The sequence below is a fragment of the Homo sapiens genome, chromosome 8 (genome assembly GCF_000001405.40).
Source record: "Homo sapiens chromosome 8, GRCh38.p14 Primary Assembly".
In the NCBI taxonomy this organism is placed as follows: Eukaryota; Metazoa; Chordata; class Mammalia; order Primates; family Hominidae; genus Homo; species Homo sapiens.
Genome location: NC_000008.11, coordinates 118,424,700 through 118,447,600, shown reverse-complemented (window position 1 = coordinate 118,447,600; position 22,901 = coordinate 118,424,700). Strand labels below are relative to the sequence as shown.

The window sequence follows — 22,901 nt, the reverse complement described above, 5'->3', positions numbered from 1 at the left end:
CTGGACACGGTGGCTCACGCCTGTAATCCCAGCACTTTGGGAGGCCGAGGCAGGCAAATCACGAGGTCAGGAGTTCGAGACCAACCTGGCCAACATGGTGAAACCCCATCTCTACTAATAATGCAAAAAAGTTAGCTGGGCGTAGTGGCAGGTGCCTGTAATCCCAGCTACTCAGGAGGCTGAGGCAGGAGAATCTCTTGAACCTGGGAGGAAGAGGTTGCAGTGAGCTGAAATCGCGCCATTGCACTCCAGCCTGGGTGACAGAGTGGGACTCAGTCTCAAAAAAGAAAAAAAAAAAAGATTTCAACTGAGGGGAAGGAAGGAAAGAACAGGATGACCTGTTTGTTGTATTAGTACATAGATGCAGGAATCTAGGTGTGGCATGACAGTGTTTCCAATCAGGATTGTAGCAATGTTGGTAATGAAGAGATTGACATCTGGATACATTTGAGGGTAGAATTATCAGGTTTCCCTAATAGATTATATGTGGAGTACAAGAGAAAGACGAAAGTCTATGAAAAATCCAGGATGCAGGGCCTCCACAGCGGGAAGCATAGAGTTTCTATGATATGAAATGTAGGCTACAAATGAGGCATTTTTAGGGGGAAGAACAGGAGCTCAATTTTGGACATGTTGAGTTTGATATATTTATTATATGTAAAAATTAAACTGAAGTCATCAGTTGCATATGTATATATGATTCTGTAGTTCAGGAAGAAAACTGAGCTGGAGGTATAGTTTTGGATTCCTCAGCCTACATCATGGTAAAAGAAAACCAAAAAACAAGCCATGAGACTCAATGGAGAGCCCTGATACGACATGTGAAAAGGAGATTAGTACAGTGGGCAGTGAGATTTGTCTTGCATTTACCCAAAGGCAAAACTCAAGAATCAGTAAAAAGATGATGAAGATCTGACTTTGACTTCCATATGAAAGTACGTTTTGAAGCATTAATGTTTATTAACAATGGTGTGGCCTATTTCATAGGATACGTTTTCGGATGCTGTGGATTTTCTGGGAAAGTGCTGAATCTAGATCAGTGTTTTTCCAAATTTTATGTAGCTCAAAAAAAGAGAAGAAAAGAAAAAATAATCATTTTAAATTAGGAGATTGACATTTTGTCTTTACCCAAGTAAAGTTGTTTACACACACAAGCCTTGATATATTCATCATAATTTAGGTTTACTAACCCCCATCTTAGATGTCTTAAAGTGGATTGGACTCTTGCATTAGGTTTAAACTTGAACCCACTAACTACTGAGAGTCCTTGACAACTTTTGGAGTCTGTGGTCACAGCATTTAGAAATTTTAAAGTCCATTAATAATATTCAGTGTGGGCAAATTAAGAGAAAAAAATCCTCTAGTCTTATCTCCTTTAAAAAAAAAAAAAAAGACACTACAACAGTGATGTCTTTAAACAGTGGTTCTCAAATTTATGGTCCCAGGACTTTGTCGCACTCTTAAAAGTTTTTAAGAACCTCAAAGAGCTTTTGTTTATGTAAATTATGCAAATACGGGAAAATAACGAATACATTGGTTAATAAGGATTTCAAATGATGAACTGACACCTGTTACTTGTTAATCATAAAAATTTAGGCTTCGATAATCCATTCCGTTTTCGTTGTCAACACATTGAGAATACTGCCTTTTGAAGGAAATATGAATAAGCTACAATTCCCAGTAAAGAAGACTAGGAAATGAAGGGTCTAAAATAGATCCCCTGTGCAGAACAGACGAAAAAACTAATAATGCCTCACTATATGTTCAGAAAAGTTATCTAAGTTGCTTACACATTACTGGTCTTTAGGGGCTCTTATACTATCAGAAGAGATTAGCATCAAAATTTGAAAAGTAAGAAATAATCCAGGTGATATTAAAGCAGTGGTTAAAGATGGAAGAATGTGAAATAACACTATACGCATTTAATTATTCTACTGCTTAGCAGAAAAGGTTCAAGTCTATTTTGGAGAACTTAAAACTTAATGTTTAAGAGTTCTTTTCAGTTAAACACAAATGCACTATGTATATTTATCTTTCTTTCACCTAAGGGGATATGTATTCTTCTTTTACCTGTTAACTTTCTGGCCATGAGATGTCTTCCCCTTAGGAGGCATGAAGTTTAAGAGTTTTCTCTGTCATAAAATATTTAGGTCCAAACCCATGAATAATCCCTAATATGTAGATTTTATAGACCATTCGGGAAACAGCATGCAATAGACAAGATATGTTTTTAAAATTTTCTAACCACCTCTTTCCATGAAAGGATTAAGGTGACAGAAGAAGACATTATTAGTACTTTAAAATTAATTAATTCATATATCAAGTATTCTATGAGCTAACCATTTTTCCTGATATTTAGTGACCTTTTTTGGGTGAATGAGCATTAAAAACTGCTAAAGTAGACATTAATGGTTTGTTGTGTATGTGTGTGTTTCCTCCTTTTCCTTCTTTCTCTCTCTGTAATCTTGAGTAAAATGACACAATAAAAGTTAATAAAAGAGAGGACTGGGAACTAAAGAAAGGACATTGCAAGATAGTAAGGGAAGAAATAGGCAATTCTTAGAGCTTGCAAACACTTGCTTATAATGATATACTAAACCGCTTTCTGAAATTTGGCCATAAAGCTCACTTTGCCCTGCCAATGAATGTAAACAGTCTAAGCATTCTCTATTTTTTGATAATCAACCAACTGGGCTCACCTAGTTAAGAGTTTGTACAACCATTGGGATCTTACAATTGCAGTGTTCTCTTATAAATCAAAGCCCAGTAAATTAAAAGAAAATTTATATTGTAAAACAGATAAGCTAAAGGATAGTTGAATCACAAAATAAAAATTTAACTTTAAAGGCATTTTGCAATATGTTCTTTCAATTTCAACCTTCTTTAAGGCATTTAATTATTCTGTTACTTAGCAGAAAAGCTTCAAGTTTACCTTGGAGAACTTAAAACTGAATGCTTCAGAGTTCTTTCTAGTTAAATACAAATCAGAATTACTGTAAAACATAGCTGAATTTATTATATGAGTAAATAAAAATAGAAATCATTTACCAAAAAAAAAAAAAAGTAATTTGCAAACAACCATTCTCTCAGGAATGTGTATTTTGCATAAAGTTAGTTCTTCCTGTAAAACAGAAAGGCATCAGAAAGGAAAAGCGTCTGAAATTCACTTTCAGATTGTCTGTAGCAAGGCCAGGACCAATTCAGAAAGGAAATGTCTGGAATTCTGCTTGGTGTCACTATGCATAGGGGTTAAGATAACAAACTGCCTCGGGCCTCTTTCAGGGCAGCAAAATAAACCAAAATTGTCTCCAGGGTTGTAAATTCAGAGAATGATGTGGTAGACATGAACATTGAGAAAAAGAACTGGGGCAAATGTTTTTTTAATGTTTGCCATTGGGCAGGATGTTTTTTTCTTATGAGCTTACTGTTTCTAGTAAAGGTGAAATGCTTTATTTCTTTGCTTTATGGACTATTATTATTTAGGCTTAGGCCCCTACTGCGGGAAGAAAAAACCCAGCAGCATATCAGAGAAAGTCATCCTCTAGGGATGGCTGTGAAGAGAGTGTAGGTGTTGGATGTTGAGGAAAGGAGACGAGGCGGTCGAAGGCATTGACAGCTCTGCCTCTCTTTTCCTGCCTTCAGTGGGAAAATATGTTGAATTCAAGTGATAAGGTTTAACATGTACTTCTTGTTGTTCTAATTGTACGTGGAAGTGAAGTGTAAGCTCTTTAAAGGAATCAGGTTATGCCATTCACTCCCAACATTTGGTAGCTGTTGGGGATGGAGGAAATGTTGATGGAAGGGGGAGTAACTGAGATTGACCCTGGATGCTACAAAAAGAGAAGTTCAGGCAGAACAAATCAAAGTCAGCTCTGAGAATCCCAAAAGAAGCAGCAGACTGGGGTAACTGGAGTCATTACAGCTCTTAAAGTGTGGCAAACTAATAGTAATTTCATTAAAATGCCAAGGCTGAGAATCACCTGATAAATGGTATCAATACTTTTATTACCATCTGATTAAGAAGAGACAAACAGTAGGAATCTTTATTACCCTCATTTTACTTATTATGTCTGTTTACATGGAGGCATTTTTGTAGGCTCATACCATCTTAATTTTTTTTTTTGAGACAGTGTTTTTTATTTTTTGAGACAGTGTTGCTCTGTCACCCAGGCTGGTGTACAATGGCACGATCTCTGCTCAAGGCAATCTCCACCTCCCAGGTTCAAGCGATCCTCCTGTCTCCCGCGTAGCTGGGATTACAGGTGCATGCCACCATGCCCAGCTAATTTTTGTATTTTTAGTAGAGATGGGGTTTCACCATGTTGGCCAGGCTGGTCTTGAACTCCTGACCTCAGGTGATCTGCCTGCCTCAGCCTCCCAAAGTGCTGAGATTACAGGCATGAGCTACTGTGCCCAGCCTCATACAGTCTTAAAAATCTATGCCTAAAGTTTTGAGTATATGCTCTTACTAGTATATGCCTAGTAAGAGTATATGCTGAAGAATAAAGCAAAGCAACTCCTTGAGTGTTAACCTCAGAATCTCTGAATTTATGATAAAAGGAAAACTTAGAACAAAAGCATACATGGTGGGCTGGTGAGGATGCATTCTGAGTCAACTTAGTGTGTTTGGGTAAATCTCCACCTGAAGCCCAGCTGAGGCTGAGCGTCCTCCCTTTCCCAGGATATGAGCAAGTTAAAGAATGTTCTTCCAAGAAGGAAAAAGTTTAATATATTGATGTATAAGCAACTTTATCTTTCTGCCTTTCCCTTCCTAATTTACGCCTCTGTGACTGGTTTACAGGAGTTTTCAAAAGATGTGATTAGCTTTACTTGCAAGAGTTTCAGGGTAATGATGTGTCAGCTATAAACTCATTCAGCTAATCCGAAGGAACATTTGTAGAGCAGGAAAGAACTAGATTCAGAGGTGCTGACTTGTGAAACATGGTGGTAAGTGATTTCTAGCTAAAAGATCTAAAATTCTAGCTTCCTAGTTGTGCAAAGGAAAGGAGGTGATGATGAGCAAAGAGAAAAAGAAACCTAAACATCATCAACAATAAAAACATTTATTCATTTATACCCTCCATGCCCAACGTCTTCCTCTCTCATCAAAATTAGGCAAAGTCAATATGGTTTCCCACAGATGTTAGAGGGAAAATGGCTGCAGCCCATTACCCCAGTATGAAGGGCTGCAGGCATGTTTGATTAGGAGCCATGTAGGCATAACACACAGCAGGGTAGAGAAGCAAGGGCTGAACGTGAAAGTCACTGCTGATTAAATAGCAAGCTATGTCTGTGAATGCTGTTTCATTTCATTAATTCATTCACTTAATCCTTGTGGATGTACACGGGATCTACTGAAAACAAGACACTCTGGGGAACACAAAATTATAACAGATCTCACCCTCCCATCTTCACCATGTATTCCACTTACTAGGATTGCAAAACAATTTACCCTAAAACTTAGTGGTATTAGACAACTGTTTATGATGCTCATGGATTATGTGGGTCAAGGATTCACTCAGGGCACTGCAAAGATGGCTTGACTCTCTATTGTGGTATCTGGGGGCCTTGGCTGGAAGATTTGAAGGCTGGTGGCTGGAATCATCTGAGGCTTGTTCATTCATTTGTCTGGTGGTTGGTGATGACTGTCAACTGAGACCTTAGCTGGCAAATTGACCAAAATTCCTACACATGGTCTCTCCATGTGACCTGGGCTTCCTCACAACATGGTGGTTGGTTTCCAAAGGTCAGTGCCAGAGAGTGAATCAGGCAGAAGCTGTTTCTTTTTTATGACCTAACCTCAGAAGTCACATAGCATTAATTCCACTGTACTACATTGGTCAGGAAGGTCACATAACCCTGCTGAAATGGAGTAGGAGGGAGCATCAACCCCACATATTAGTGGAAGAAATGTCAGTCCCATTGAATGAAAAGCAGATACATATGTATGTATATATGTCTATATGAAAACATACATATATGAATATATGGACATATATAAAATCATCTTTGGAAAACACCATCTACCACAATTAATAAAAGAAAAATATCACAGTACAAAATAAAAAGTGATCAGCATTGTGATTATTTTGAAAGCAATGGCCCAAGGACTCATATGACTGGAAATATACGAATAAAAAAAAAACACCTGAGCATTGTGCTTTCCAACCTTGAATCGCTTCCGTATTACTTCCACTGTTTTCACTATGACTCTCTCACCATCTGCACCATTGTTTCTTTATTTTTTTATTAAAAATTGGCCCAAGGGATAGTTGTGTCTTTAAACTCAAATTTGTTTAAAAAACAAAGAAGATATTGCCACAGAAAATAAAATTTATTTTGCCATAATTATTTGCCATAAAATAAAGGGTAACTTTAAATACACTAAAAAGTTTTTAAAAGTTATTAGATGCTAGATATACTACCTTTTTTTAAGATTCTGAGACTGAAGCAAGCCCTTTCTTTGTCAAGGAAACAACAACAACAACAACACACATGTCAGCAGGTGTTACAATCACACTCCTACCAAATGAAGGCTCTCCTTTTGCCTTAATCTGAAAGATTTGATAGAGAAGTGGAAGGAAATTATGCGTATGGAGAAGAGCAGGGATAATAATGGCCACGTCCTTGTACCACCCAGGAGCCTTCAAACAGCTGCCAATATGATAGCCTTACTTTTTTTGGCAAACACTGATCCAACATGATAAAAATTCTAGATAGTGAAGCATTAATCTGTCTAAAACCAAATTCCTGGGATCTCTGAGGGAGACCATCAGAGCATGGTCATCCCATGGGCATGAAATTGATGCTTATTCACTAATAAATGTATTTGTAATCCATCATTTGTCAAAGGCTAAGCTTTTCTCACTCCCTGCGTTTTTATATGTGTGTGTGTGTGTGTGTTTGTGTGTGTGTGTGTGTGTGTGTGTGTGTGTGTGTGTGTTTTCCTCATAAATACTTCCCTGAAAGATCCAGTGAACAAAAAAAAGACCTTGACTAGTTGGCTTCTGTATAAAGCCTAACTGCCCACATTATCTTATTACCATTCTCCACATCCTGGTGGAATTGACTTTTTGCTTCCCCACTTTGGTATAACTAATGGTCCTGGACATTTCAGGGCCACCCTAAGTCCAGAGCCCCCAGGCAGACTTGCAGTTCTTAGTATACAGTTATCTAAATCCAGTAACATTCGTTCCTAAAAATATTATTAGCACTTCCTGGAGCCAGTGTTGTGCTAGGCTCTAGAAATGTCAGGGACAGCGAGAGATAAATACTTTCTTGGAATACAGAGAAAGGCACTTGGGGCCAGCTGTGTCTCCCCTTTAATGTAATTAATTGCTTAGCAACCCCATTGTTTTTTGCTAGAGTATTCATTAAAAAACACTACTTCCTAGGGATTCCTTGGGATTTTTTCTTAGCAGAGATGGTTAGATCATTTTCACAGCTTCTCCACCTGGACCTTTCTTTGTGCTTTTCAGCAGTATTGAGAAGGTCTACAGAGGTTAGGAGAAAGACAAGAACTAGATATTTATCTTCAGGGAATCCAGTCTGTAGCCTTTAACACACTCTAAGACTTTTAACTATAGTGTCTTCCTAGGCATGGGGCCAGCATTGACAGATCTTCCTTCTTTATTTATAGTCAGCTACGGTGAAGCTATCTAAACCGGTGGCTCTATGGACCCAGCAGGATGTCTGCAAGTGGTTGAAGAAACATTGTCCGAATCAGTATCAGATCTACAGTGAGTCATTCAAACAGCATGACATAACTGGTAAAGTATGCAGTATCCCAGATATTTCACTCCTTTTCTTTCTCCCAGTCACGATAGCCTTTCCCATACCCTTACCATGAAACAACATCTTCCTGCTGAAATTTTCTGGCATGGGTTTACTTCCAAAGGGGTGATAAATTCCAGATCCATGTGAGCCATGCTATTTAACAAACATACATGGTTATTATAGAAAACTGTGGATTTTAGCATCCATTGTAAAAGTATATGGGAATCAGGGTGCAGGGTTGGGGGATCCTAGAGAAAATAAGAGCATGCCAATCATAGAGAAAGGAAAGAAGGAAGTCTTTCACATGAACTTGGCTACAGGATCACTATGTAGATCTTCCAAGTAGAAAAGGTTTCTAAGTAGGAAAATGCTTTTTAAAAAATGTCTAAGATAAAGTATATTGACTTCTTTGGGTGAGCTATACACATGTATCCAATCATGTGAAAGAGTCCATGGTGGAAAGTCGGTTTTCCTGACACTCCTGTCCTCTGGCCATCCATTTCCCTGTTGACCACCTTCTTGTATCTGCACCTAGCAATGTTCCAAGTTTCTGAAATGGAATATAATAATACTAACTCTCTGCCCTTGGGATGAATAGTTTCAAGGCACAGATAACGATTCCATTTAGATCAAGGGTATTCAAATATTATACGTGGAGGTCAGTAAGTACTTGAAAGCAGAAAATAGGCCAGGATAGTGAACCATAAAGGGGCTTCAGATCAAGTCTCTCAATTGGGGGATGGAGTGGGCAAGATGGAGCAAATATGCCCACCGTGGAAGCCCATCAGAGTAAGGGGGCTTTTCCAGACCTTGCCTGCCCTTTCACCCTAAGATCCTGCTTGTATGTGGGCAACACTTCCCTTTTCCCTGCACAAACAGTGCAGTGAAAGATAGGACTGAGGATACACTCTGTAAACCAAAACTGTGTGGCTTCAAGGGGGAAACAGTGTTAAGAAGTCATTTCTAGTCCAGATCTTTTTTTTCTGAGAAAATGCTTTCACTCTGGTGGTAAAGTGACTTGTCATGAAATAGCTCAGCATTCTCGATGACAAACCTCTTTCCAAACCCACACTTTCTGTCATGACAAATCCTAATCTCTCTTGTTCTGTTCACTCCTATTACTTTAAAAAGGGACTTGTTAAGCAGAAAGTATTTCTTTTTGCAGTTCAGCTCTTAGGCTGTAGCTGTGAGATCTGGGGCAGGTCAGTTCACCTTCTTAGAATAGGTCTCAGTCGATGGTTTTCTATGTGTGTTTCATGGAGCCCTTGACTGCCAAAGGGATGTGGGTGTGCTTTGGGTAGAGGCGGGTGCGTGAACCAAAACCACTCCCTTCATGTCTGTTGTGTATATTTGAACCATACAGAAAACTTGATTGATTTTGAAAACTTGATTGATTAAAAAAAATTTTTTTTAAACATTTAAGCACTAAATGTTTTAAAAAAAATGCTGAGCTAGATGATCCTAGATTCCTGCTGACCACATTGATATGTCTAAATATATAGGGAAAACACCCAATTGTAGCTCAAGTTGAGTTAACAAACAAGAGAGTAAAATCCTTCTATCTTAAATATAAAAATGGTCCTTTATGCATTTCCTCTCTGTCACTCCCAACTAGAGTCAATGGCCCTTTTGGATGAAATCTCAGAAATTCGGAAGGCAGTGTGGGTACTTAGCTTCGATTCCAAGTGTCTACATTCATTTTCTTAGTTCCTCCCTTAAGAGTTTAAGAAAAGCCCATCTAGGGTCAGTTATTCTACTCCTAACTGTAATCAATCAGTTAGTAACCATTTGCCTGATTATGGTAGCCTTCATCAGATAATGGCTGCTTAATGTTTTTTAATGCCTGTGCGATAGTAATGGCAAAGCCTTTTTCATGATCTTATTTGAAAGCAGTGTTATCTTTTATTAGGGGTGAGAATTATGAGGTCCCCTTGAGGGAAGGATAAGCATTTATAATGGTTTGAAGAGGATGAGCCTTACAGTCCTCAGAAATAAAGATTCATGCATCAATGCTTATGGAATAAATGGTCCCACTTCCCAAGGTTTTCTGCTAAGTGACATGAGGACAGGAGTGTGGGAATGAGGTATGCATTTAAAAAAGTTGTCGTATGCTTTTGGTGGCAGACTTGGTCTTCATGAAACATACCAGGTATTGGGAAATCACTACTTTCTTGGGATCTTGGGCAAGCTGCTTATTAACCTGGGCAAGTTACTTAACCTCACTACCTCATCTCCAAAATAAAGAAAATAGTACCTGGCTCAGAGAGATGTCGTGAAAATTAAATGAAATAATATAGGTAAACCACTAAGCTAACCATTTCTTGACTCCTTTTACATGTTGGCATTGTGCTATTAGTCATGTCAGGACTCACCTGGAAGTGTCGAAAAACATGCTGTTATTTCCTTTTAAGGGCAGCCTATTTTCTGGCAAGAAGAAGAAAGCAGGGAATTACTTGGGGACTTAGGGAACAGAGAGAATGATTTCAGATTAACTTTTGGTCTACATCTTTTTGACATTCACCTATTTGAAGCCTCAGAAGACAACTCTCTTCCCCTGTTCTCTGGCCCCTGCTTCTCTAAGAGTGAATGCAAAATACCCAAATGATCACAAGTGCCAAGTGGCCAGAAAATAGCTTTCGGGACTTCAGCCAGTGTGCATTTACCAGCCCTATGATGCTAGAAGCTGTGGGAATCCCAATACTCTTGGAGGCTGTGATGAACAGGGCAAAGAGGTTTGTAAAACTCAAGATGTGATGACAGAGCAAACCTCACCAGGGTGTGCAGACAGTAGAATGACTTAAGAGAGGACAGGGGAGTGGTTACAAGTACCAGGTCACAGCCCAGAGCTGCATCGCAACCTTGTGATTTTGTAAAGGTTGCTGGGTGCATGGCAGCTTGTCACCTGCAGAAAAGGAGATGCTAATAGTATCTACCTCATAGTGTTGCTATGAAGGTGGTACACAGTCACAGTGAGCATACAGCGCATGTGAGCTGCTGCTCTTTTCCAAGTGTTGCCCTGATGGTATCTTTGATAACAAAACAATACACATAATGTTGAATTCATCCAGCTTTATTATCCTGGGAAAGGAGGGAAAGAAGCATCTAAGGGAAACAAAACATTCTGGGCTGGTAAATATCCTGTGCTAATCTTTAAGGCTGCAGAAAAGATTGTTCATGTATCTCTTATTTATGCTTAGATTCTCCTGAGTGCTGCTGTTCTTTTATTTTTCTTAAAGCAAGGATCTCCTCTATCATGCTCATTGAGGAAGCATGTTATATCAGTGTTATATACAAACATCCCTTGATTTAGAGGCACATGGTCCAGTGACGGTAAATAAAAAAGACATATATTAAATGGAGAGAAAAAGAAGAAGAAAACAGAGATAGGTTTTCTGATCATAGGTCTGAGTCAAATCCTCCCTGCTGCCCTCTACACCAACCTTTGACATGTAATAAAAACATAATGCCACACGTTAGTTTCTTGTCAGTAAAATAATATTTATCTTAAAGAATTTGGGGGAAGATTAAATGGGATGATGAATGTGAAGGGCCTAGCTTAATGACTGACATATAATGGGCATTCATTCATCCATTTAGGAAGTATTTATGGACCATCTACCATGTACCAGGTTTTCAGAATACAGTGGTAAGTAAGATAGTCAGTGATCCATGTAGGAAAAAATTGTGCTTGCATGGAAAACTATGCATGGTCATCTATAGCACAACATTTTGGGTTATCTAATTCTTTGATTCTAGGGAGCAATTTTATAACTCTGTGAGTTGTAGATAACAGAGGGTAATACAATATAATTTTTCTCCATTGACATGTAACTTCTGTTCCACAGAGGTTCAGTTGACTTGCCTAACCACTGTGGATAAGGTGAGTTTTACCTCCCATTTACACATTTATTTCAGTCTTCCTGATCTATAATTGTGTCCGCTGTTCGGATTCTCCCTTGAGCTGGTTGTAACATCTTGCCAGTTTCCTCATTAATAAGTTAAATTAAAATCTTAAAGATGCGTTCACTTCCATATTTGTATGACAGTCATGATTTTAACCTTTTCTGAAAATTACGCTTTAACCTCAGTAGTGTTTAAATTGTCTGTATTTGTTTTTACAAAGAGTTCTACTATATGAACATTTGTTTCTGTGTTTATTTGAAGAACTTTAAATTCTAAACAAAATTTTCCCTTAGGTGCTTCAAAGTCTAAGAAAACTTTAGACATGTTTTAACTTATCAGTGTTCAAAATCTTTTGCAATATCAAAATTTTTGATAATTTTATTGTGCCCAGAAGATACCTGCTCTTTGGTGGCAGATGTGTTTAATCAGAAGAGAAGCTGTAGTAATCCCCCCTCATCTGCAAGGGAAACATAGCAGGACCCCCAGTGGATGCCTGAAACCATAGATATTACTAAACACTATTTATATAGTGTATACATACATACCTATGATAAAGTTTAATTTTTTTAATTAGGTTCAGTAAGAGATTAACAAGAACTAATGATAAAATAGAACGATTAATAATAATATACCATAATAATAATTAGGTAAATATCTCTGTCTCTTGAAATATCATATTGTACTGTACTCATCTACTTTTCAGACCACAATTGACCACAGGTAACTGAAACTGCACAAAGTGAAACCGTAGCTAAGGGGGCTGCTGCTGTGCTAATAGCATTAACTCCCTGCAGAAGCACACTTTTTTTTTTTTTTTTTGAGATGGAGTCTCACTCTGTCGCCCAGGCTGGAGTGCAGTGGCGGGATCTCGGCTCACTGCAAGCTCCGCCTCCCGGGTTCACGCCATTCTCCTGCCTCAGCCTCCCAAGTAGCTGGGACTACAGGCGCCCGCCACTACGCCCGGCTAATTTTTTGTATTTTTAGTAGAGACGGGGTTTCACCGTTTTTTTAGCCGGGATGGTCTCGATCTCCTGACCTCGTGATCCGCCCGCCTCGGCCTCCCAAAGTGCTGGGATTACAGGCGTGAGCCACCGCGCCCGGCCAGAAGCACACTTTAAAAAGAATAAGACGGTTAGAACACTGGAAAGGCATTAGGATATATAGACTGAAATCATGAGGTTAGGTTTAAAGGAAAGAAATTTGCGTATGTTTCTGTGCTTGCAAGATTCTGTCCCTAGCTTTCTGAGGCCTGGCCTGGAATGCTGATGAGGAGGCTCTTCTGGGGCCAGGTGTAAGCTCACAGGCAACTTTCAGATTCTGTTATGCACAGTCAAGTATCTCTTCAGGTTTGAAGTTTCTTCCTGTGGTGGTTGCTAACATCACTTCACCTCGTTTGGCTTCAAATCCTCTATCTGTGAAGGGTTCCTTCCCCTGCCAACTTTAAAGGCTTGTTTTCAGAGGTGAAGCACTCAGAGCTCCCCAGAATATAAAATATTTTTTAAAAGCTGCTTTGAATGTATAAAGGGTTTCCTTGGTCTACTTCATGGACGAACCATGGGTATCCTTTAGATGTCTACAAGAACAAATAGTTGTCATATGAGTATCGCTTACAAATGATTCCTATTGACTTATTATATTTCTAAATGATCACCTACACAATAGATGTATGCCTCTGTTCTGTTTTTTTATGCTGCAACTGTCACCCACTTGTACTTCTTTTCCTTTTTAAAAATATTCTGCTGAGATGTAGCACCTTGAAATTGGGCAGTTCTGAATATGCTGTTGAGTAAAGGGAAAATCACTATCTTTTTAGGACCTTTGGAATGTGGCTCCATGCATTTGCTAACGTTGTTCTCTTCAGGGCTGATTTTTCTGGGCTGTTCTACTCCTCTATCCTTCTGTGATTGTCTTCCAATTCTTTTATTATGGTTAGAGTTCCCTGTAGAAACCAATGGGGTGTGTAGCTAACAAGTGTCAAAAGGAGTAGAATAATTACTTTATGTGATGTACTTACGAGAATACTACTTAGTAGAATCCAGTATAACCAAACAAAATGTAAACGTATTTAACTATCCAGTGTGTCAGCTACACATTTTCTCATCTTTATCACTTCTGCTCTGGATATTGTGATCTACTTTCCTATCTCTTTGTATTTGTTTTTTCACATTTCTTTTTTGTGTGAACTGCTCTATACTCTTATTGAAACTTGAGCATAATTTTATATTTACATAGTAAAGTTTCTGATATGATTAGAACATAAGTTGTTTCTCCTAATTTTCCAGTAGAGCCATTGATTTTTCATTTTAACCCCTTTTAATGGAACACTTACTAGCTTTCTAAATTATAAACTTACTAACTTTAATATACATGAATTATTTCTCAGCGTTCTTAAAACAAGGGTACTGAACTTCGTTTTCTTGATGATTCAGGGGAAAAGAATTCTGAGTGTTGGAAAGGACTTTAGATGTCTTCCAAGGATTTATGGGATCAATTTAAGAAAAAAAAAAAAGACCCTTTCAATGAGAAATAAACACAAGTGGAAGGTCAATGGACCACAAAATACCAGCTCCATTCCTGATAAAAGTCTTTGGAGAATGTAATTTATATCTGTAGACAAATTTATTTACTAAGAATGTTTCCTCTCTAAATGGATCATCCCAGTCACTGGCACAACTGAGCACTGCCTCTTTTAAGGCTTGGCAGAAAGCAGACTACGTCAGCACACAGGTCTCAAGTGAGGACAGAACATGGGACTGGGCTGAATGAGTAGCAAATGGAGGACAGGAGAGAGGCCAAGAGCGTTAGTCAGGGAAGTCCCTCCACAAGGGAATAGGAAGAATGGAGGCTGAGTGTCCCCCTTACAATATAGGTACATGTCCCCCTGTGTTACCCTTTCTAACATCCCTACTGTGTAGTTGGACAGCCTTTGCTTCAACACCTCCAGGGATGAGCATTTTATAGTTTTAAAAAACAGTCTGTTTTTCTGTTCAAGATGTTGGATTATTGTGGTGGTGATGGCGGCAGTGGCAGTGGTGGTAATGGTGGTTGTTGTCAGTGGTGGTGGTGCTAGGGGTGGTGGTGATGGTGTTTGGTTTTGCCTATACTCCCTCCTCCTCTAAGCTGAAGGCCCACTGAACTACTTTCAAGGGTTGTCAAATGTCATACTCTCTACCTTCTTGACACCCACCCATTCACCTGAATAATTCCAGTTTTCCTTCTGGCTTGAGTTTTAGATACCACCTCCTATAGAAAGCCCTCCTTAGTTCTCTTCATCTGGGTTGAGTATCTCATCTCTAGTTCCTAGGATAAGGCTCTATTGTAAGACTTATCACAGTAAGTTGGTAGTTGAAAAGTTTAATAAGAAAGTGTATGTTGAAGTTTGACTGAAACACACCCCTAGGTCCTGTTTAGGTTCCCAGGTTAGAAACTCTTGCCAAAGAAAGCTCTTGATGACTGCCCCCATTAGATTCTTGCTTCCTGGCATCAATGAAGTATAATGCTATCTTCCAGTCCCTTCCTTTGTTCTAGTGGACTATTTATTGGATATCCCCAAATGCCTCCTCCCAAGTTCCTATTACTGAATACAACATGTCCAGGTTTCAGACACACACAAAAAATTACAAAGCATGCAAGAGGTAAGAAAATAACAAACTGAAGAGACAAAGTAATCATCAGAACCAGATTCAGATATGACACAGATGTTAGGTTTATCAAATAGGAAATTTAAAATAAGTATGATCAATATGTTAAAGGTACTAATGCAAAATGTAAACTATATGCCAGAACAGATGACTAATGTAACAGAGAAGTGGAACTAATAAACAATCAAAAGAAAATACTAGAAATAAAAAACACTGTGATAGCGAGTAAGAGTGCCTTCAAGGGGATCATCAGTAGACTCAACACAGCCATGGAAAGAATCAGTGAACTTGGAGGTAAATCAATAGAAACCACCCAAACCAAAATACAAAGAGTAAAATGAATGAAAACAACAGAGCAGAACATCCAAGAATTGTGGGACTATATTAAAAGATGTAACATATGCATTACTAGAATATCAGAAGAAGAAGACAGAAGAATAGTTCAAATAGTAATGACAACAGATTTCCAAAACTAATCACAAACATTGAACCACATATCCAAGAAGTTCAGATAACACCAACAGGATAAATATTTGAACTACTTTTCTCAAACACACACACACACACACACACACACACACACACACACACACGACAAAGGTAAAATTTTGAAAGGAGTCAGATTTTAAAAACAAACAACAAACATCATGTACCTTAGTTCCAGAGAAAAGATAAGAATTCCAGGACACTTCTAATGAGAACCTCTTAAGCAAGAAGAAAATGAGTGAAAACTTTAAAGGGTTGAAACAAAAAAAAAATGACCAATTCTATATCCAATAAAATTATTCTTCAAACATAAAAGAAAAGTAAGGAAAGGCTTGCCCAAACAAACAAAAACTGAAGCAATTCAGTGTCAGCAAACTGCCCTGCAAGTAGTGATAAAAGTTCTTCAGGCAGAAGAAAAATGATATAGATCAGAAACTTGAATCAACAGAAAGAAAGGAAGAATGTCAGAAAATGAATAAATGAAGGTAAAATAAATTCCTTTTTTCTTATTAATTGATCTAAAGGCTAACTGGTTAAAGCAATAATAACAATAATACACTGGGTTTTATACCATATAGATAAGTAAAATGAATAACAGCAATGCCACAAGGGATGGAAGGGAGGAATAGAATGCTTTGTTATAAGGTACCTGCAATACATGTGAAGAATAGTGTTATTTGAAGGTGGACTTAGATTACTTAAAAACGTATATTGTTAACTGTAAGGCAAACACTAAAAATTTTTTTATAAAGGAAAGATAAATAATGTGTTGAGAAGATAAAATGAAATGGCCTCAAATACTCAGTTAAAATCAGAAAAGGTCAAAGAAAAAAGAGAGAAACAAGAGCAATGAATAGAAAAGTATAAAGATGGTAAATTTTAAGTCTATCAATAATTACCTTAAATGTGAATAGTCTTAACACACTAGTTAAAAGACAGAGATTGTCAGATTAGGGGCAAAAAAAGCCTAACTATATGCTCTCTAGAAGAAACACACTTTAAGTACTCAGGTTAAAAGTAAAGTATTGGAGAAAGATGTATTACACTAACACAGTCAAGACTCTTATAGTAGTTATATTGAGTTGAGACAATGCAGACTTCAGAACAAGAGTGAAAAGAATAAAGACGGCAATTAGTCTGAGCGTGGTGGCTCATGCCTGTAATCCCAGCACTTTAGGAGACCAAGGCGGATGGATCACAAGGTCAAGAGATTGAGACCATCCTGGCCAATATAGTGAAACCTGTCTCTACTAAAAATACAAAAATTAGCTGGGCATGATGGCATACACCTGTAGTCCCAGCTACTCGGGAGGCTGAAGCAGGAGAATCGCTTGAACCTGGGAGGCGGAGGTTGCAGTGAGCCGAGATCATGCCACTGCCCTCCAGCCTGGCAACAGAGCGAGACTCCATCAAAAAAAAAAAAGGCAATTACAGAATGATACAGGGTTACATTCTCCAAGAAGACGTAACAATTCTAAACATTTGCACTCTTAACATAGAGTGTCAAAATATATAAGGTGAACACTGATAATATTCAGGTAGAAATTGATAAATTTACCATTACAGTTGTAAAACTTCAACATCACTCTCTGATGATCTGAACAGCATTGTCAATCAATGTGACCTAACTGATATCTATAGAACATTTTATAGAATGTATGTCCAATATACATTCTTCTCAATAGATGCAGAGAAAGCATTTGACAAAATTCAGTGTTGATCCATAATTTTTAAAAAACTTACCAGAAAAGTAGAAATAACAGAAATCTTGATAAACAGCATTTATGGTGAACGTACAGGTAACATCATCCTAAATGGTTAAAAAACTTTTTTCTATACAGAATAAGACAAGACCATTAGCTTTCTTACCTTATTTTTTTTTAATCTATTTTTGTATGTGTGTGACAGAATCTCACTCTGTCAGCCAGGCTGGTGTGCAGTGACACGATCTTGGCTCACTGCAACCTCCGCCTCCCAGGTTCAAGCGATTCTCCTTCCTCAGCCTCCCGAGTAGCTGGGATTATAGGCATCTGCCACCATGCCCAGTTAATTTTTGTATTTTTAGTAGAGACAGGATTTCACAATGTTGGCCAGATTGGTCTCAAACTACTGACCTCAAGTGATCCACCCACCTCAGCTTCCCAAAGTGCTGGGATTACAGGCATGAGCCACCACACCCGGCTACTTACCTTCTATTAAATATTGTTCTGAAGACCCTGGCCAGTGAAATAAAGCAAGAAAAAGAAATAAAGACAAAAAGATTAGAAAGGAAGAAGTGAAATTATTTTTATGTATAGATCAAATGGTTTATATAAAAAACTATGAGATCTAGAGTTGGAGTGTTGTCTAGAATACATGGAACCAGAAGTGTTTTCAGTTTTGTATTTTTTTGGATTTTGGAATATTTGCAGAATACATACCAGTTGAGCTTCTCAAATCCAAAAATTTAAAATCTGAAGTACTGCAGTGAGCATTTCCTTTGACCTTCATGCTGGTGTTCAAAAAGTTTTGGATTTTGGAGCATTTCAGATCTTGAATTTTCAGATTAGGGATGCTTAACCTATATGAAGAAAAAAATCCTACAAGAACTAATAATATAACTTAGTGCGCAAAATACAAGATTACTATGTAATAGCTAAACAAAATATATCTAAGACTACACAGAAAACTGTAAAACATTGCTAAGAGAAATTAAATATCTAAATAAATGGTGAGATATCCCACACTTGTGGATTAGAAGACTCAATGTTAAAATTATGTCCATTATTCTAATGACCTATAGATTCACTGCAATCACAATCAATATAACACCAGATTTTTTAAAATAAAATGAACACATTGATTCTGAAATTTGTATAGAAGTGCAAAGACGTTAGAGTAGTGAAACTCATATAGAAAAAGAACAAACTTTTGAGGACTTGCCCACCTAATTTTAAGACTTACTATAAAATTACAATAACCAAGGTAATATGGTACTGGAATAAAGACTAACTTGTAGATTATAATAGTAGAACAAAATAGAAATTCCATAAATATACTCACACATATATGGCCAAATGTTTTTCAAAAATTGTACCAAAGCAATCCAACGAGAGAAAGGGTAGTCTCTTCACTACAGGGTACTGGAATAACTAAATGAACTTCATTTAGTAAGATAAGTGAACTTCAACTCCTGCATCACACTATACACAACATTTAATTTGAAATAAATAATGGACCTAAATTTAAAACTTTATAGAAGGAAGCATAAGAGAAAATTTCACGACCTTGAGAATAGGCAAGGAATTATTATATATGTCCCTGGAAGCACCTTAGTTTAAAAGAAAAAAAATTGATAAATTGGTCTTTTTATTTCTTTTCTTTTTTCTTTTCTTTTCTTTCTTTGTTATTGTTTTTGAGACAGCGTCTTGCTCTGTTGCCCACGCTGGACTTGAGCTCTTGGCACAAAAGATCCCATGGCCCCAACCTCACATGTAGCTGGGATTACAGATGCACACAATCACACTTGGCTTCTAAATTGGTCTTTATCAAAATTAAAAGTCGTCTGCTTTTCTAAGAATCCATCAAGGAAATGAAAAAGCCAAGCCAGAGACAAGAAGAAAGCACTTTTATTATATATCTAAAAAAGAACTTGTATACAAAATACATAAAGAACATTTAAAACTCAAGAAGACAACCCAATAATATGGGCAAAAGATTTGAAATGATACGTCACAAAGAAAATACAAGAATGGCCAAAAGGCACATGAGAGTATGCTCAGAAATATTAAGTCATCAAGAAAATCCAAATAAAAATCACAATGAAATAATACTTTACACCCAGTAGAATGGCTTAAATTCCCATACCAAGCCATACCCAGTGTTGCTGCGGACGTGGCACACATGAATCTCTTGTATGTATGTTGTATGTGAGTTTAATATGGAGTCACCTGATTTGAAAATGTCAAGTTTCTTATGAAGTTAATCACAAACTTATGAGATGATTCTGCAGTTCCACTCCAAGGTATCTACCCAGGAGAAATGGAAACGTATGTTCTTAAAAATTCTAGTCCAATAATTTCAAAAGAGATTAGAATAACCAAAAATTCTAAACAACCCTTATATCAGTCAAGACGAGAATAAATTGTATGTTCACACCAAAACCTCTACTCAACTATAAAAAGGAACCTACTACTGTGCACACAATGTGAGTGAATCTCACATTGTGCTCGGTGAAACACGTTAAACCCAAAAGGGCACATATTATGTGATTCCAATCATATGAAATTCTAGAACTTGCAAGATTAACCTGTAGGGATAGCAGTCAGATCAGTGGTTGCCTGGAGTAGGGGGTAAAAGGGAATTGACTGTAAAGGGGAATGAAGGAGGTCAAAATGTTTTGTATCTTTGTCAAACATCATCTACTTGATATTTCAAATATGTGGGATTTATTGTATGTAAGTTATGTCTCAGTAAAGTTTGTTTATAAAAACTTGTGTACTTTTCCATTTTTTAAACTACATACCATTCTTAAAATGAAAAGATGAACGTGTTATCCTGCATTTTTTCCATTCTGGCCATAGGATCATTTAGATTAAAGATGGATAGATGGATGGATGGATTTGGTTTTATATTTATCCATGATATAGATACTTATAGAGAAATTGAGTTTGAAAATCCATATTTGCATTTTGTTTTTCACTGAAAGAATAATCTGAAGATACCAAAGCATTCTTATAAAGAAAGGCACGGTGTTGCCTGTTGTTAGGAGATGACTGCTGACAAAGGAACAATACTCTCTTCTCTTCTCCTTGAGATTCTGCTCGTCTGAGTCTTCATCAGTGCATCCAAGACTTTTGGATTTCATAGACAAGTTAAATTGCAGAAAGCATTTTTGCAAATGACATAGAGTTGCCACCTTTTGTATTTTGCTCATTAATATTTTTTAATTAAAAAGTACTCTCACCACCATTTTATAAACCAAAGGAATTTTAACACAAAATACTCACGATTTCAAAATAGATTTTTGCTTGAAGAAAAACATACATTATTTTTATTTCTCCCATTTTCATCACAGAACAGCACCAATTTGTAGGCTACTGTAAGTAAACTACTGCTCCAAGGACACATTCATCGATACTCTAAATTCAAAATTTATTTAGTGATAGTATTTGACAGGAAAAGAGTGGAAATTGTCACCAGATGAACTATTTGTTTCATAAATCATAACTAGAAGGAATATTCTTACTATGGGAGCAGCCTTGCTTTAGAAAATCCCTGACATCCTTAATAATGCCCATGGTTTCTTGGAGGCTTTCTATGTGCAGGATGCTCTGCTGAGAACCACATGGACTGTAGTTCTGTCCAGTACATGTGATGCCTGTCCAGTACCTAGAACTGTGCCTAGAACTCCTCAGTGTGAAAGAGTTAGTGGCTTTCAACAATCTTGCAAGCTGTTACAGGTGAAGAAGTGAGGCTCGGAGTTCAATGGGTGACTCAAGGTAATTAGAGGAGCTGAGCACTTACCATCAACAGGACCCACCACACAGGCTTGTTGGGAGGATTAAGGAGTTAAAACCCGGACAATATTTAGAACAGTGCCTAGCACATCAAAGGACATCAAGAAATATTACCTATTATCATTACTAGTCAATAATTAGTGAATTGATAATCATTTAATGACACCACTATGAGCCAAACACTGTGCCAAGAGAGATAGACTGTATCCCATTGCTGTGAAATATTTTATAGAAAAGCATGGCATCGTGATGTCAGACTGCAAGGGACCTCCTTCTGTCTCCTTTTTTTCACATGAATAAACAGAAACCCAGAGACTAAACTGATTTGTACAGGGGCACCGGAAAATGTTCAAAGCTCAGTGACATGGCTGTGGGAGAACAGGAGACCCATTCTTATGAAAAGTCCATTAGGTTACCTCATTTAGAAATAACCAGAGTGGGGTTCTGAAATGGACAAGACACTCTTTTCATGAGTGTGTTTTTCCAACCAAATTCGAGGAGCAGAATGAAGCCTTTATAGCAAAGGACTTGATCTCCTACTGCCTCACCTTTGACCAGATCCAGTTATTTTTTCCCCTGTCTTTATTCTGTTCTCTAGTCTCCTGTGATAATGACACATGATACTAAATCAAATATGATCAGACATCTGCATCTGCTTACATTGTGAATGCTGAGCTTTATACTCTATCGGAGAAACTAAGTCAATTAAGTATGATCCATTCTGTTGTCCCTGTTTTAAAAAACTCCTGTTTCCATTTGATTTCTTTCTTTCTTAGACAGGGTAGGAGTCTCACTGTGCTGCTAGGCTGCCCAAGCTGATCTTGAACTCCTGGGCTCAAGCAGTCCTCTTGCCTTAGCCTCCTGAGTAGCCAGGGATATAGGTGTGCACCATCATGCCCAACTCTGATTTCTTTTTTATTGATGACTTGTTAATTACTCTGTCAGTTTATTTTTTGGTTTTGCATGTTTTTGGAAAGCACTGGAGTCAGATTGCAAAATTGGAGATGCCCTTTCCCCTTGGTTTTGCTCCCATTTTCTGTTTAAAAATTAATATACCACAGCTGGGCACGGTGGCTCACGCCTGTAATCCCAGCACTTTGGGAGGCCAAGGCGGGCAGATCACAAGGTCAGGAAATTGAGACCATCCTGGCTAACACGGTGAAACCCTGTCTGTACTGAACACACAAAAAATTAGCTGGGCGTGGTGGCGGGCGCCTGTAGTCCCAGCTACTCAGGAGGCTGAGGCAGGAGAATAGCGTGAACCCAGGAGGCAGAGCTTGCAATGAGCCGAGATCCCACCACTGCCCTCCAGCCTGGGCGACAGAGCAAGACTCTGTCTCAAAAAAAAAAAAAAAAATTAATATACCACATGCTCTCTTCCTGTCAAGTCAGAGTTCCCATCCTTACAGAGCCTGCATGTTATTGGGAGATCAAAAATTAGACCTATTAGAGGCAATCAGCTAAGTAGACCAATGACTCTTTTCCTTTAGATGGCGTCATTTATGGTGAGGAGCCTGATGTCATGTGTTATTGATGGAGGAAACTGAAGTCCACACATGTAGGATTGATGATATTTACAATCCTGTGGCACTGTTTC

At 37.9% G+C, this 22,901-nt stretch overlaps 1 protein-coding gene across 12 annotated transcripts in view, besides 1 other annotated feature; it reads left to right on the top strand.

Annotated features, from left to right (window-relative positions):
• The window catches only part of SAMD12 (sterile alpha motif domain containing 12), a 490,139-nt gene that overhangs the window by 174,363 nt on the left and 292,875 nt on the right, over window positions 1-22,901 (top strand). For 10 of the 12 annotated variants that reach the window (NR_146234.2, NR_109794.3, XR_007060733.1 and 7 more), the window contains one exon: window positions 7,640-7,769. Coding sequence is in view for 8 of the 12 variants with exons in the window: in NM_001101676.2 (NP_001095146.1) it covers window positions 7,640-7,769 (130 nt within the window). In the remaining 4 variants the exon portion in view is untranslated. The remainder of the gene's footprint in view (window positions 1-7,639; window positions 7,770-22,901) is intronic. The other 2 variants (NM_001349811.2, XM_047421778.1) reach the window with 1 other exon arrangement.
• Window positions 7,137-8,336: an enhancer, noted in NCBI's record as "P300/CBP strongly-dependent group 1 enhancer chr8:119451504-119452703 (GRCh37/hg19 assembly coordinates)". NCBI's record gives its function as "activates an origin of replication core promoter dependent on BRD2, BRD4, P300/CBP, MED14 and CDK7 cofactors, with strong dependence on P300/CBP, by STARR-seq in HCT116 cells {active_cell/tissue: HCT116}" and the evidence as "EXISTENCE:reporter gene assay evidence [ECO:0000049][PMID:35650434]".